The sequence below is a fragment of the Homo sapiens genome, chromosome 14 (assembly GCF_000001405.40).
Source record: "Homo sapiens chromosome 14, GRCh38.p14 Primary Assembly".
In the NCBI taxonomy this organism is placed as follows: domain Eukaryota; kingdom Metazoa; phylum Chordata; class Mammalia; order Primates; family Hominidae; genus Homo; species Homo sapiens.
The window spans coordinates 19040432-19056667 of NC_000014.9; the positions used below are offsets into that span (position 1 = coordinate 19040432).

The 16236-nt window shown below is 45.8% G+C and overlaps 1 annotated feature.

Moving 5' to 3' along the window:
* Positions 1700-2276: an enhancer, noted in NCBI's record as "OCT4-NANOG hESC enhancer chr14:19944999-19945575 (GRCh37/hg19 assembly coordinates)". NCBI's record gives its function as "activates a minimal SCP1, AML or CMV promoter by ChIP-STARR-seq in primed H9 embryonic stem cells {active_cell/tissue: H9 hESC(primed)}" and the evidence as "EXISTENCE:reporter gene assay evidence [ECO:0000049][PMID:30033119]".

The window sequence follows — 16236 nt, forward strand, 5'->3', positions numbered from 1 at the left end:
GTAGTCCTACAGGATAGCTGCTATTACTGCTTATTACGCAGATGGACAACCTGAGGCTCAGATGGAGTTAAGTGGCTTAATTGGTAGCAATCGAGCCAGGATTTGAACCCAGGGCTGCCTGATCACCAAATAAAATTGTATTCAACATGATGCACTTAACTTTTCTGGCCTCATTTCTCTCACCTGTAAAAATGCAGGTTTCAGATGTTTGTAATATTTTACCTGTGGTTTAAAGAGTTACCAGCCCTTCCTCGATGACCCATGGTAAGACCCATGAGCCTTTGAATATAATTATAGAAAACATTTGAAGAGGGATAGAGAAAGACGAGATCATGGCTCCTTTGATAACGTCAAATTTTCAGTGCACTAAGCCATACATAGTGCAGTTTTCTAGCTTCCCTTTCACAAACGGTGTTGAAGAAAGTAAATTAAGCAACTCAGCTATCACTGGGAATGCAGTAGAAGTAATCAAGTCCAGTGCTGGGAGATAGTTGCCATGATATTCCAACATGGACACCAGGATCACAGTCGATGACTATGCCCTCCCTTGAAGATGGTGGCTTGCCTCTCTTTCTGTAAGCAAATGTCATGTCATAACAGTATTAAACAATTACAAGTAATGTCCCCATCTGCTTCTGCACTGCCTTTGAAATACTATTTCAGATCTGCCAAAATAAATGGCAAACTCGTTAACAAGAAAGCAGGGTGGGGGGTGCATTCATCCCTGCCTTCCTGAGTAGTCTATTCACCCAAAGACAAAAGGATGACCAGCTTCCATCAGGGATATTCAAAGACACAGTCACCCTGCCATGCAGCCAGAGGCTGGCAAAGGTCCAATCCCCTTTTTAAGAAGCTTGTTGGATGAGCTCTTTAAACATACAACCACAAAGGAAAGGCACAGCCAGTGTGAGGGAGGCTGATAAGATGGGCATTTTGTTTGCTTCAAGGTTAGAATGCAACTTGTCTATCAAAATGTGGTTATCTGACCTCCACAATGCTGCAGTCCAGTTAAATACTGCAAATATTCATCCACCATTTACTATGGATAAAACAATAATGTGCTGTGGGGAATCCAATTACACAGACACACACACACCCAAGAAAGTGCACACACACGTGGGCACACACACTGCTCCTGCTGCCTCAGAGCTTCCAGGCCGGCAAGGAGTAAGTGCAAACATTAGTAGGTAAGTCTGCTACCAGGAAGAATATGATAAGTAGATCCAACAGGGTACAACGCAGTATGATAGAAGCAAACAAGGTTGAGATGAGTTCTGACTCCCTTTCACTTATAAAACTGATTATGGAATAGTTTATGAAAGACTCGCCTGGATGAATCTCATATTTTCCAAGTGTTTTCTATCCCAGTGATTGGAACTTTTATTCCTCTATACCATTGTCCAAAAAGAAAGAACAGGAGATTTTCCTAAGACCATCCTCTGTCTTATCCCTCATATCCCAAACATCACCAAGCCCTGTCCACTTTTACCTACTCAGTTTCTCTCCACTTGCTCTATTTTCTCCATAAGCACTAGCAATACCTTGGTTACATGACATTCTGAGAAACTTCTTTGTGATGTGTGCTTTCATCTCACAGAGTTGAATATTTCTTTTGATTGAGCAGTTTGTAAACAGTGGTTTAGTAGAATCTGCAAAGGGATATTTGTGAGACCATTGTGGCCAATGGGGCAATAGGAAATATCTTCACATAAAAACTAGACAGAAACTTTCTGGGAAACTTCTTTGTGATATGTGCTTTCATCTCACAGAGTTGAACCTTTCTTTTGATTGAGCAGTTTGGAAACAGTCTTTTTGTAGTATCTGCAAATGGATATTTGGAGCACTTTGAGGCCTATGGTGAAAAAGGAAATATCTTTACTTAAAAACTAGACAGAAGCATTCTGAGAAACTTCGTTGTGATGTGTGCATTCATCTCACAGAGTTGAAGCTTTCTTTTGATTGAGCAGTTTTGAAACACTCTTTTTGTAGAATCTGCAAGTGGATAATTGGAGTGCTTTGAGGCCTATGGTGGAAAAGGAAATATCTTCACGTAAAAACTAGACAGAAGCATTCTGAGAAACTTCGTTGTGATGTGTGCATTCATCTCACAGAGTTGAACCTTTCTTTTGATTGAGAAGTTTTGAAACACTCTTTTTGCAGAAACCGCGAGTGGATATTTGGAGCGCTTTGAGGCCTGTGGTGGAAAAGGGAATATCTTCACATAAAAACTAGACAGAAGCATTCTGAGAAACTTCTTTGTGATGTGTGCATTCATCTCACAGAATTGAACATTTCTTTTGATTGAGCAGTTTGGAAACCGTCGTTTTGTAGAATCTGCAAAGGGATATTTGTTAGCCCATTGAGGCCTAAGGGGAAAGAGGAAACATCTTCACATGAAAACTAGACAGAAACTTTCTGAGAAACTTCTTTGTGATGTGTGCTTTCTTCTCACAGAGTTGAAACTTTCTTTTGATTGAGCAGTTTGGAAACCGTCTTTTTGTAGAATCTGCAAGTGGATATTTGGAACCCTTTGAGGCCTATGCTGAAAAAAGAAATATCTTCACTACATGATGACCACCAGCAGCAGCTGGGGAAACCAGCACCCTGTGGAATTCCATACGGTGCATAGAATACATCCTCCCTTCAGTCGGCTTGGGTCAACTTAGGTCATGGGCCACCTGGCTGATAGCAGTTTCCACAGAAATGCTTCAAGATGGTATAATAATCCAAATCTCTTTGCATGGGGCATGGTGTGGCTATCTGAGAAAAACCTGGCTTTTATAGGAAGGAGAAAGAAGAATGCTTCTTGAGGGGAAGAAACCAACAGCAATGTGCCTCAGGGAAATGTCACCAGAGGAGAGTGAGCTGTAATGACTATTTTGGCAGATTATTTCTTGTGGTTCTTGGGTTCCTTGGCCCTGCACAGAGCTACCATTTACTCATTTGACAAGTATTTGAGTGGTAGACTCCAGGGTTCAATAGTGATCAAAAATGCACAGAATTTCTTCCCTAGTGGAGCTTAGAATCTAACAGAAAGAGCTGACATTAGTCACAAAATTATGTAATAAGGGAAAGTGCAGCAGACCCAGGTGTGCTGCAAGAGCCTGCGAAGGCAGACTGACCCCAAGACAGAGGCAGGAAAGGATGCCTCCAGGAATCAGCAATTGAGCCAAAATCAGGGAGAAAACTAGGCAAAGACACAGTATTCAGGAGGAGGTAGAAGCTGGCCCATGAGGACGGTGGTGTGGAGAGGTGAACCAATACCCAGGTCCTTGGATTTATTGTTGAGCTGCTGAATGAACCAGGGCTGGCTCTTGCCCAACCTCTGCACTTCTTGTTTTGCAAGGTTATAAATTTTTTTATTTAAAAGCTAGTATGAGTTGGGATCTGTTGCTTTTCTGAGACCCCGTCCTGTGAGGTAGACAGGGGGCCTCACTGTACTCTGGGGAACTAAAGATGGAGAAGGGTTTTAGAGTGCCTGGAGAAGAGGCCCTTTAACGGATCATTTTAGAAGAGGGTGCTACTGCTAGACTGCCCAGATTCCCTTTCTGTCTTTGTGACCTTGGACTCTCTGTGTCTGTTTTCCAATCTGAAAAACAGAATAATGATAGTATCTGCCTCTGCCTGCAAGACCCTCACCTATCAGACCAACTACCTTTTCACTAGAACTCTCTTCTTGCACTGTACCCCAACTGGACCACTCATTAAAACTTAAAATGGGCATATTTTCCTTTTCTAGATTTTGCTCAAGACATTTCCCTCATCAAAATTAAATTTGGTCCATCTCCCCCTATTGGAATTAAACCCATTCTCCAGAAATCAGTTCAAATTTTATCACCAGAAAGCCTCTCTCAATTACCCCCACCTTCTTTTATTCTTTGGGCCATTTCTGCTATCATTTCTGTTTTTCTTTTTTGCTACATATTGGTGTAGGTACATACGATCTCCACTTCCACTCAAATGTGAGGTTACTGCGGGCAGTCCCTATGGATATAGTCATATCCCAAGAGTCCTGGGCAGAGGGTTTCCCTCTTTCACCCAGGCTGGAGTGCAGTGGTGCAACCAGAGCTTACTGCAGCCTCAACCTCCTGGGGTCAAATGATCGTCTCAGCCTTTCCAGTAGCTGGTACTAAAAGCGGGCACCACCATGCTTGGCTAATTTTCATATTTTTCATAGAGACGGGGTTCCACCATGTGGCCTTGCTTGGTCTGAAAGTTCTGAGCTCAAGCAACCCACCTGCCTTAGCCTCTCAACGTCCTGGAATGACAGCATGAGTTGCCACACCTGGCTGCATGCCGAATACTTTAGAGTTGTTTATGCCTGACACTTCCAGGGCATGCAGAACTATGGTGGCATTAACCGACACATTAACCAACTGCCTCACTTACTTTTCTTTTGACTCAGTTTATAAATTTTCTTAATTTAAATTTTAATTTCAACATGTATACATCTTTGAAATAAATAAAATAAGCTCTTTGAATGTTTGACATAACGTAGAAGAAATTGACAAATGGACATCTTTACTTCATTTTCTGTCTCAAAATGTGGTACAAATAGCCTCCCCTAAAGTGATCCCAATTATTACATAGCCATCTTGCTGTGGCTAATGTAGAATGTTTTTGCAGTATCACATGCACGAAGGGCATATCCAAAAAACATTTGAGTGAAGATAATACTAGATTCTAGAAAGTATCTAGACACTTAAGAGCAGGTGGTGATGATGTTAATTAATAATAACAATGTTGAGGGGCTGGCTTCTGCCCTTCCCTAATAAGCATAAAGAGCATATAAACTCAGCAAATTTGCTCTTATTTTCTTCATTATTTGGTTTTTGAATCAGTAAATGCTTTCCACAGGGGTCATCTTGTTAGTCATCTTGTCATTTTGCTGTGTCCCATCTTCGTCCTTGCAATTTTTCCTTTTTCCCATTTTGGCATGTATTGAGAGGAGTGTTATGCTGATGAAATGCCCTGTCCTGAATTGCTATCTGATTAGAACTTCCCTCAATTTTTAAAATGCTTCTTGACATGGTTTGGATTTGTGCACCCCCCACCCCCAATCTCATATGGAATTGTAATTGTCAGTGTTGGAGGAGGGGCTTGCTGGAAGGTGACTGGATCATAGAGGTGGTTTCTAATGGTTTAGCCTCATCCACCTCGTGCTGTCTGATGATAAAGTTCTCCTGAGATCTGCTTGTTTAAAAAGTGTGTAGCACCTCCCCTGACTCTTTTCAGCCATGTGAATATGTGCTTGCCTCCTTTTCACCTTCTGCCATGATTGTAAGTTTCCTGAGGCCTCCCTATAAGCATAAGTCTGTACAGCCCACAGAACTGTGAGCCAATTCAATCCCTTTTCTTTTTCAATTACCCACTCTCATGTATATCTTTATAGCAGTGTGAGAACAGATTAATACACTCCTCCTCAGAAAGCATTCAATTTAGCTGTGTCTAAAGTATGCCAGGTGTTCTAGGGTGTTATCTTAGCCAATAATTCTTCCTCTTCAGCAAGATCTATTTGCCTATGACAGCTTGACCTACATTTCCTACCATACTTGTCAGTAACAAGTAGCCCATAACATCTGAATGGACTTCATTGAAATCACAGAGGTTCTTTAGTTCTCTACTTTATTAGCAGGCATTCGGGAAACACATCAACTTTCTAATTTAATAAGGTGCCTGTTGCTTTGAAAAACTGCTCAAAAGAAGATAGGAGAGGCTTACTTAAAGATATCACTATAGGCATGGCATGCTGGTTCACACCTGTAATCCTAGCACTTTGGGAGGCTGAGGAGAGAGGATCACTTGAGTCCAGAAGGTCAATACCAGCCTAGGTGACATGGCAAAGCCCCATCTCTACAAAAGAAAACAAAATCCAAAAAATATTTAGGCATGGTGGCATGTGTTGCATTCCCAGTTACTCAGGAGACTGAGGTGGGAGAATCACTGAGCCCAGGGAGGTTGAGGCTGCAGTGAGCCATGATCATGCTGCTGCATTCCAATCTGGGGACAGAGCAAGAGCCTGTCTCAAAAAAAAATGTTATCACTGTACTATCTATAACTATTCTTAATTAGAATAACTAGGTTTTTTTCAACAGTGGAAACTCAAAACAGACAAAATTGTTGTACCTCAAGGTGTGTTGTCGTAGTCATATAATTCCTTTGCTTGTAACTGCCCAATAAATGGATGAGGACTCACTTCAACCCATAAATAAGAAAGGTGAACAGCACATGGGGCCTGTAGATGCCTTTTGCAGGGCCCTCTTTTTCTCTTCCTAAAGTTGCAATTTGAGTATTTCTCTAGATGGGCACATCATAGAAACTGTCGTCCTAGATCAGAGCCTGGGGAGAGAGATACAGGAGTCATGCTTACATCTGCAGAGTGGGAACAAGCCCAGAAAAATCAAGATGATTAAGCAGAGAGCTTCCATACTGGAGATAAACCAGCTGTGTAAAAAATCATTGCACCAAAAAAGCATTGCACCATCGACATAACTGCTTTAACTAAGAAGTAAAGGAACTGATGCCCCAGCAGAGCACAGAGAGCCACAGAGACAGGAGCTGCATTTCAAACAAGGTCATTGCTGTTGTCCCCACCCTGAGTTAAGTATCTCTGCTTCACCCTTCCTTACCAAAGTTCTGCTTGATCATCCTTTTGTTTTGTTTTCTTTTTTCTGCACTTCACTTCTTTGAGAAAATATAAACCAAAACCTTACATAAAACAGGAATTGAGCTTTTGACAATGTTAGCTCTTGAAACAACCGAACAAAAAGGTTTCTATTATTTCTCATCTCTGTGCTACCCAGTACAGTAGCCAATAGCCACAGATGACTATTAAAATTAAAATTAATTCAAATAAAACAAAATTTACAATTTAGTTGGTCAGTTGTACTAGCCACATTTCAGTTACTCAATAGCCACATGTGGCTAGTGGCTACTGAACTGGCCAGCACAAATGTAGAACATTTTCATCATCATAGTTCTCTAGGCCATGGAAAAATTACTGAACTCAATTTCCAGTGTGCACATTTATTTGCGTACCTAGGAGCTTTTTGACCCTGTGTTGAGATGCCTAAACAGCTTCCTGATTGACCTCCTGATATTTCTGCAAATGTGGACTAAGAGGCCAGGATTCCTCAAGGCCCAGGTGACTCAGGTTATTCCAAAATTATATTTGGACTACCAGTCCTCTGCTTGATTTGGGATGCAAAAGGGGACTTCTCTCCCTAATCACTAAAGTAGCTTTTCAATGTCCCCCTCTCATCACGGTAAGAGTCTCATTTCTTGAGACTCATTTCTTTCCATGACTTATGTTATGTTTTGGAGAGAGTGGATTCAGACAGAAGAGCTGGCTCTGTGCTGGTTTTCCAGGGGTCAGCCCTTTTGTCAGCGACGAGTCTGCCTCTCTACATGATGTACATTGTGTCCCACTACTGGTAATAGAATCTCAGCAATTGATTGACTGTTAGGTTATTTTCAAAGCTCAATATTCACAATAATCTAAAAGACATCCACATAACCACGAGGACAGACAGGGCTCTCATAACCTGCAAAGGACAAGGTGCAAATTTCTTCTTTCCATCCCAGCAACAAATCGACAACTCAGCCAGCACTAAAAGTTGGGGTAAAAATTAATTAAAAGAAAAATGTATCAAGGATAGATAAAAGAACAAAAAAGCTATTGCAGCTGTCTTCTCCATGACAGAGGGCTGTGATCTGAATTTTAATGTTTTCATCTACTTTCTACTTTTGTGTTTCTTTTATTATTTTTTTCACTGTCTCTTATTTGTAGATACAAATTTTTAATATTTGAAAGCTATTTTAAATATAATCTTTAAAAGGAGAAACATTCTTTTTTTTTTGCACAAAATACTGAAGGTGAGATCCACTGATTGCAATGCAATGGGACAATATATCTGGAAGCAATTTTATCCAGAAAAATCAATAGCTTTAAAACAATTCACAACCTTGGACCTAATACCTCTACTTCTAGGAAGCTAGCCTATGAAGGTTTCTGCTGAAGGATGTTTATCACAGTATTATTTATAATGTGAAAAAGCCAAAGAGGAGACCTAAAATGTTTCAAAGATGAAAATGGTTTGATAAAATTATTTTTTTTTTTGAGACAAGGTCTCACTCTTGCCCAGGCTGGGGTGCAGTGGTGCAATCTCGGCTTACCACAACCTCCACCTTCCAGATTCAAGCACTTCTCCTGCCTCAGCCTCCCAAGTAGCTGGGAATACAGGCACACCCCACCATGCCTGGCTATTTTTTTGTATTTTAGTAGAGATGGGGTTTCACCGTGTTGGCTAGGCTGGTGTCAAACTCCTGAGCTCAGGCAATCCACCTTCCTCAGATTCCCAAAATGCTGGGATTACAGGTGTGAGCCACCGTGCCTGGCGATAAACAACATATTTAAACTCTAAAATGTTATGCAAGCATTCCAGGCATGCTTTGGAAAAACTATTAATCCCACAAAAGATGCTTATGTAATTATATAGACTAACAGACCAAGATTCTCCAGGACACTTACTTTGTTAAGTGTCTGAAGTAAAATGCAATGCTGTATATAAAATGTGACCTGAAGTCAGGTCCCAGTCTTTTCATCTGGAAAATTCTGTTAATTATACTGCCCTTCCCCTTTATAGGTTTTCTGTAGGAGTTAAAATACACTTTTTCAATTGCTTGACATAATGCTCAACACTGGTAGGGGAGCTAAAAATGTCAGCTATTGTCCTATGTGCCAAAAAAAAAAACCACACAGACAGACACACACACACACACAAAGACACACATGGAGGGAGAGGAAGTAAAGATTAGAAAGCAGCACATAGTGTATTGGTAGGCAATGGGACCACTAGTGATTTTCATATTCTTTTTTATTTTCTTCTTTATACTGCTTACATTTTCAGTGTTATATAATGAGCATGTATTACTTCTGTAATCAGAAGAAGGTGGTATAAACCTGACCTTAATATAATAAAACAAAATTACTGGCCAGGCACAGTGTCTCATGCCTGTAATCCTAGCACTTTGGAAGGCTGAGACTGGTAAATCTCTTGAGCTCAAGAATTTGAGACCAGCCTGAGCTCAGTGAGACAGTGAGACCTCGTCTCTGGAAAAAATACAAAAATTAGCCAATGATAGTGGTATACACCTGTAGTCCTAAGTTACCTGGGAAGCTGAGGTGGGAGGGTGGCTTGAGCCCAGGAAGTGGCTGCAGTGAGCTGTGACTGCACCACTGCACTTCAGCCTGGGTGAAAAAGCCAGACCCAGTCTCATACAAAAATAAAAACAAACAAACAAACAAAAAAGTTATTACTTAAATCTCACATGCTATCTTGGAGCCGTCTCAGTGTTGAGGGAGTCAAGAGACTGGAGAGACCAATGGGTGAGACAGGAGGATTTTATTAAAGTGACCACTTGCCCAGTGGATTTGCATCCAAAAGGCTGAGCCCGGAAAAAAGATGGGGCCTGTTTTTTAAGCATGCAGCTTTGCAAAACTTACAGGGCAGGCTTAGCAAGCTTACAGAAGCAGAACAAAGGCAGTTAATCAAACAGTGACAAGTGTATGACTCAAACATGTCTGGTGACCTCTGCTGGGCCACCCAGCAGGCTCTCAGCAGATGGCAACTGTTTTAGGCTTGCACAGGCATGTCTTGTGACCTTCTCAGGGTCACACCGATGGAAAACAGGAACTTAAAAAATCCTTACAAACTTACAGAAATAGTTACAAAAATAGTTATGAGAGCAGAGCAAAGAAATATTGGCCTGGGAAAGAATCTCAAAGGGGGAAGCTGATAAGAACTTGTTTTTCTCATCCCTGTTCCTGGAGTCCATTCCTTCTGGGCTCTTCCTGGCCTTGTATATAAAGTTATCTTAGTCCTAGCAGGGCCTTGGACTGAGTCAGCCTGGAACAGGCCAGAACTTAGGTTTTTCTCTTTTTAATTTCTGCTTTAGTAGGCCAAGGTTCTGATTGTCACTGCTGAGAAAGTAAGGTGTGTTCAGGCTGCCCATGGTTCTGGGCTCCCCCATGTCTCTGAGGAGGGCTGTCCCCTCCATCACAGAGAATATCAGGACACTAGCCTGTTCCTAGTTATACTTATACACTCCTCTCATGTTGTCTGTGGAGTGGATGCTGCAGGGAGGGTGACATCCCAGTTAGTCCTAAGAGCCAGACTGCCTGAAGCTCACTGTAACAAGTCCTGCCTTGAGGAAGAAGGAAGTTTGCCTCTGTGAACCTCCCACCTGGGCCGAAGGGAAGCCACTCTCTCTGCTGCCTCTCCCCAACCTTTTCCTTCTGTGGTCCTAGTGAACCTCTCACCCCCTGCCTACAGGCCTGGAATCTCAAGACCATGATGACCTCTCATCACTCCTGAATCCAGAGCTTTCCCTTTACAAAGGGGAAACTGAGACCTGGAGCAGGGCTGATGTTCAGCCAGCGCACAAGGGAATGGCTGAATTGGTGGTAAAATACTGAAATAGTTCCAGTGTGGATGGAAAGGGGCCACTGCCCTGAGCATCTCTACTGCCCACCTCATCCCTTCCTCCAGGACCCTGGGTCAGCACCAGGAGTGTCAAAGTGGCCAGGATTGGCCGGAGCCCATGCTAATGGCTCTGCCAGCCCTTCTCCCCACCAGAGAGGGCAGGGGGATTCAGGCCCTCTAGAGGTAGCATTGTGACCGTGTCTGCAGTAGTCAATCCTTGTGTGCCACAGTCCCTGACTTTGTTGATAAGGGCATCAGCCTACATCCCTCTGGTACTCAGTGATAAGCATCTAAAATCTTCTTAAAGAAAAAATTTAAAAAGCTTTCAAAATATACGACTTAACATATGAGGCTGCATAAATATCTTTTTAGCAGTTGTCCAACTGGTGCTTCTGGTTCTGCCTCCCCAGAAAGTGGATGACCGGGCCACCCTCCACCACTGCCCTGTAAGACCATGGGACACACAGGCCACCAGTTCTTTTCATGTGGTCATCCCCTGTTAGATGGGAGAAAATACACCTGCCTCATTTTTGTACCTTCTGTGTGAACATTCCACGGCAGAGCTTCACTAAATGTGTGATGAAGAATTGAATGAATGAATGAATATGAGAGAAAATGAATAAATGGTTCAGATCCTGGGCTGGAAGGCTGTGTATGAGGATGGTGGGTAGAGGAGGGTCTGTTTTTCTTGCCTTTAAGTCACTAATTGTCACTTTGGGGCAGGAGCACAGGCTTTGAATGCAGACCGACTGGACTTTAATTCTGGCTTTACTAGTTGTGATTGTGTGACCTTGTGCAAGTTACTTAAACCCTCTGTGCCTGTTTCTTTATCTGTAAAATGGAGATAATAAGATGTCAAAGGACTGTGGTAAGAATTAAATGCTTTAAAAAAATCGCAGTTTGTATTAAGTCCTCAATAGATTGGGTTTAGCATCATGAGTGCATGTGTTTCTGGAGCAATGCTCATCTTGGGCTGCATGGTGCCTACACAGAGAAAGACTCTGGCCTCTTCTCATCCACATGTATCTGTCTTATGCCTGGTTCCCATTCCCAGATCCTTGGAAGATCCATATTGCTGAAACGGTGAAGGGTGATGGGCACCTCAGGACAACTAAGCTGCTCCCCAAACATCTTCCCCCTCCCAAACTCTCCTGTGGTCTTTCGCATTTAACAGGAATCTCTGGACACTCCAAGGGTTGATCCTCTCATGGAAGACCAGTGGGGAGGAGGCTGCGGGAAAGGTCAGGCACTGTGCACTTCCCTGACAGCTGCAAATGGTTGTTTCCAAGCCCACTGGTCACTACAAATAAGGCAAGTTATATGACATCATAATGTGATTCTTTGGTGCCTCAGTCCACACTGGCACTTTAATATTCCTAGAGTGGATTGCATGGTGGTCTATCAAAAGATATGTCTACCTGGAACATGTGAATGTGCCTTTATTTGGAAAACAATCTGCAGATGTAATTAAATCCAGCACCTTGAGATGATTAGGATGGGCCCTAAATCCAATGACAAGTATCCTTATAAGAAAAGCGGCAGGTAGGGCACAGTGGCTCACACATATAATCCCACCACTGAGAGAGGTCAAGGTGAGAGGATCATTTGAACTGCAGGCTTTCAAGATCTGCCTGGGCAACATGGTGAGACCCTGTCTCTCCAAAATGTATGTAAAATATAATAGCCAGGCATGATGGCACCCGCCTGTAGTCCCAGCTACCAGCTACTTGGGAGGCTGAGATGAGAGGGTAGCTTGAATCTGGGAGGTTGAGGCTTCAGTAAGCTGTGTTCATGATGCTGCTCTCCAGCCTGGGGGAGCCTCTCCAGCCTGGGGGGCCCCTGGCCCCTCCACAACCTGCGCTAGAAGAGCTGGGCCCTGGCTCTGGCACCATGCAGCCTCTGAGGTGAGGCTGAGAGCCAGTTTCTGCCCTCCTGCGGCTGGGGACCAACACCCCTGACTTAGGCGTCGTGGAGGCTTCTGGCCCAAGGGTCCGCGCTGCTGGTGGCGCTGGCAGGGTCAGAATTTGCCACAGCTGCTGCTGCGCGCCTTGTGCAGGTTACCACTGCAGCTGAATCTACAGCAGAGGCAGGCAGGGCTGGTCCCAGACAGCCTGGGGGTCGCTGAGTGGACGGCCCTTTCACCCTAGAGTCAGCTCTTTCTTGTAGGTGCCCAGATCAGGGTGTGCAGGGGCTGGGCACAGGGCAGCCGCCAGGAAATGGCTGAGCTGCCGGTTCCCGCCCTCCTGAAGCTGGGGCCGGACCACCTGAATTGGCCGCTGGGCGGCGCCTGGCCCTGGAGTCCGCCTGGCTGGCGTGAAAGCGTGGTCTGGGTTTGCCATCAAGGCTGCTCCCCCGCCATGTGCAGGTGGCTGCTGCAGCTGAGCCCATGACGGAGGCTGGCAAGGCGTTTCCCAGGCAGCCTCAGGGTCATTGAGTGGACCACTATCCCACCCTAGGGTTCTCTGTTCCTTTGCCTGAGCCCAGAGTTCCGGGTCGCGGGCACTGGGAACTGTGCAGCCAAGGAGACTGGGCCGAGGGCAAAGGTTTCTGCCCTGCTGCAGCTGCGGGGCTGACTGCCTGAATTAGGCGCTGAGGCTGCGTTGTCCCCGGTGTCAGGGCTCTGGTGCAGGCAAAGTGCCGGGTTGCTCTGCTGCTGTCGTGCCCTTGTACAGGTGGCAGCTGCAGCTGAGCTCTCAGTAGAGGTCGGCAGGGTTGGTCCCAGAAAGCCTGAGGATCGCGGTGTGCACCACCCTCCCAGCCTAGGGTGCACTCTTCCTTGGCACGCGCCCAGAGCTCGGGGTTTCGGGCGCTGGGCCCTGTGCAGCTGCCCAGAATAGGCTGTGCGGCTGGTTCCCGCCCTGGCAAGGCATCCAGCCATGGAATCTGCACTGCTGTTGGGGGCAGGCAAGGTCGGGGGATGGGGGTGTGGTTTCCACCATTGCTAACGGGCGCCACCTGGCGATGGTAGCTGCAGCTGAGAGCATGGCAGAGGCTGGCAGGGCTGGTCCCAGACACCCTGAGGGTCGCTGAGTGCACCGCCCTACCACCCTAGAGTCTCCTGTTCCTTAGACTGCTCCCAGGACGTGGTGTGCGAGCGCTAGACACTGAGCAGCCTCCAGGATGGGGCTGAGCGGCCGATTCCCGCCTTGCCGCAGCTACAGTCTGAATTAGGCGCCACCGCATTATCTGGCCCTGGGGTTCGTGCTACTGGTGGCATGGACAGAGATGGGGGCTGCCACAGCTGCTATGGGGCTGAGCAGCCGATTCCCGCCCTCTTGCAGCTATGGGACCGGCCACCTGACTTAGGTGCCTTGGAGGCGTCCGGCCCTGGGGTCTTTGCTGCTTGTGTCTGAGGGCAGGGTCAGGGCTGCCACTGCTACTGCCGTGCACCATGCACAGGCGCCAGCTGCAGCTGAGCCCAAGGCAGATGCTGGCAGGGCTGGCCTGAGGCTGCCCAAGGGTGGGTGAGTGCACCGCCTTTCCACCCTAGGGTCCGTTATTCCTAGACCAGCGCCCAGATTGCGGGGTCGTGGGCGTTCGACACTGTGCAGCCATGAGGATCTGGTTGGGCGGAGATTCCTGCCCTCCTGCTGCTGAGAGGCCAACCTCCTAACACGCGCTGCAGTGACTTCTGGCTCTACAGTCTGCGCTCCTGCTGGAGCTGGCAGAGACCAGAGCTGCCACCGCTGCTGCTTCCAGGAGTGTGCAGGTGGCAGCTGCCGCTGAGCCCGCGGCGGAGGATGGCAGGGCTTGTTCCAGAAGGCTTGAGGGTCCCCGAGTGCACCGCCCTCCCACCGTAAGGTCCAGTCTTCCTTGTCCGCGCCCAGAGAGTGGGATTACAGGCGCTGAGCACAGTGCAAGCGCTGGGATGGGGCTGAGCTGCAGGTTTCCTCCCTCTGGCTGCTGGGGGGCCGACCGTCTGAGTTAGGGGACGCGGCGGCTTTTGGTCATGGGGTCTGCACTGCCGGTGGCTTGCACAGGGTCGGGGGCTGCCACAGCTGCTATAGTTCACCGTGTGCACGTGGCAGCCGTCTCTGAGCCCACCGCTGAGGCTGCAGGGCTGGCCCGGTCCCAGACGGCCTGAGGGTCATTTGCCCGCGCCCAGAGCACCGGGTGGCGGGAGCTGGGCACTGTGCAGCCTCCAGGAATCCGCTGAAGGGCGGGTTGCAGCTCTCCTGCAGCTGTGGGCCGACTGCCTGACTTTGGCCACTAGGTGGCCTCTGGCTCTAGGGTTTCGGGGCCGCTGGTGTCGGCGGGCAGAGTCCGGGTTTGCCACCGCTGCCCACAGGCTCACCATGGCCTGACTAAATGCTCGCACTGCTCATACATCCACTTTTAAAAATTGGGTTGAACATGAGAACATAATCATTCATATTTTATCCATTTGCATGTATTCAATACCATCCTTTCGCTGTTCTTGTCTCTGCAGCCTTTTTCTTTAAAGAATGAATGTTTCCATGTTTTATATCCACAGAATTTCTGGTTTTTCCTGTTGGAGCCCAAGGAGCAAGGGCAGAATGAGGAACATGATGTTTCTTACCGACAGTTACTCATGACGTCTCCATCCAGGACTGAGGGGGGCATCCTTCTCCATCTAGGACTGGGGGCATCCTTCTCCATCCAGTATTGGGGGTCATCCTTCTCCATCCAGTATTGGGGGTCATCCTCCTCCATCCAGGACCTGAGGGGTGTCCTTTTCTGCGCTTCCTTGGATGGCAGTCTTTCCCTTCATGTTTATAGTGATTTACCATTAAATCACTGTGCCGTTTTTTCCTAAAATATATGGGGTGTGTTTTTTGTTCTCACTTCTGTTAGTCCTTTGGTCCCTAGGTCCAGCTTTTTTGTAATTTCTTTTGCAACCTAATATGAGTCCCATTTAGTAAGTATTACATATACTAGGAAATGATGTATATTCAGCATTTGTTGTGATTTTAAAATTTTTTATAAACACATAACATTTTTGTCTATTTCCCATTTAAATTCAGAAGTATGAGTTCCAGCGTCCCTCTCTAGACCTGCTCTTCCTGTTAGTTTCTTTGTATGTCCTGGAGGCGAGGCCAGCATTGGACTTGACGTTGCTTCACCTACTCGGTTCTATGGTCCCTCCATGTGCAGTGTCTATCCTGTTGTTCATTATTTCTTCCTTAAGTTTTATTTGAACTAAAATTAATTTTGTGGTAGCAGCTTGCTTTCTGTGAATATTTACTTAAAATTTTTATTCCCATTATTTTTCTTTCTTGAATTTGAAAGTGCTGCTTTGTTACTGATATTTTGTATTTTAATATATGAGGTTAATCCTTCTATGTTTGGTAGGAAAAAGTGATATATTTGAACTTATTTCTAGCATTTGATTTTGGATTTTGTATCCCAAAGCTTTATCCTCAATTCTCTTTTCCTTTCTTCAGATTTCTTTTCTTTTCTTTTTTGGGGGGGGTGGGGGATGGAGTTTTGCTCTTATTGCCTAGGCTGGAGTGCAATGGGGTGATCTCGGCTCACCACAACCTCTGCCTCTCAGGTTCACGCGATTCTTCTGCCATAGCCTCCGAGTAGCTGGGATTACAAGCATGTGCCGCCACACCTGGCTAATTTTGTATTTTTGGTACAGACAGAATTTCTCGAACTCCCGACCTCAGGTGATCCACCCACCTTGGTCTCCCAAAGTGCTGGGATTACAGGCATAAGCCACCGCGCCTGGACTTCCAGATTTATTTTCAATCAGCATTTCATTTTCCACTTCCTTCCTATGCTGGCT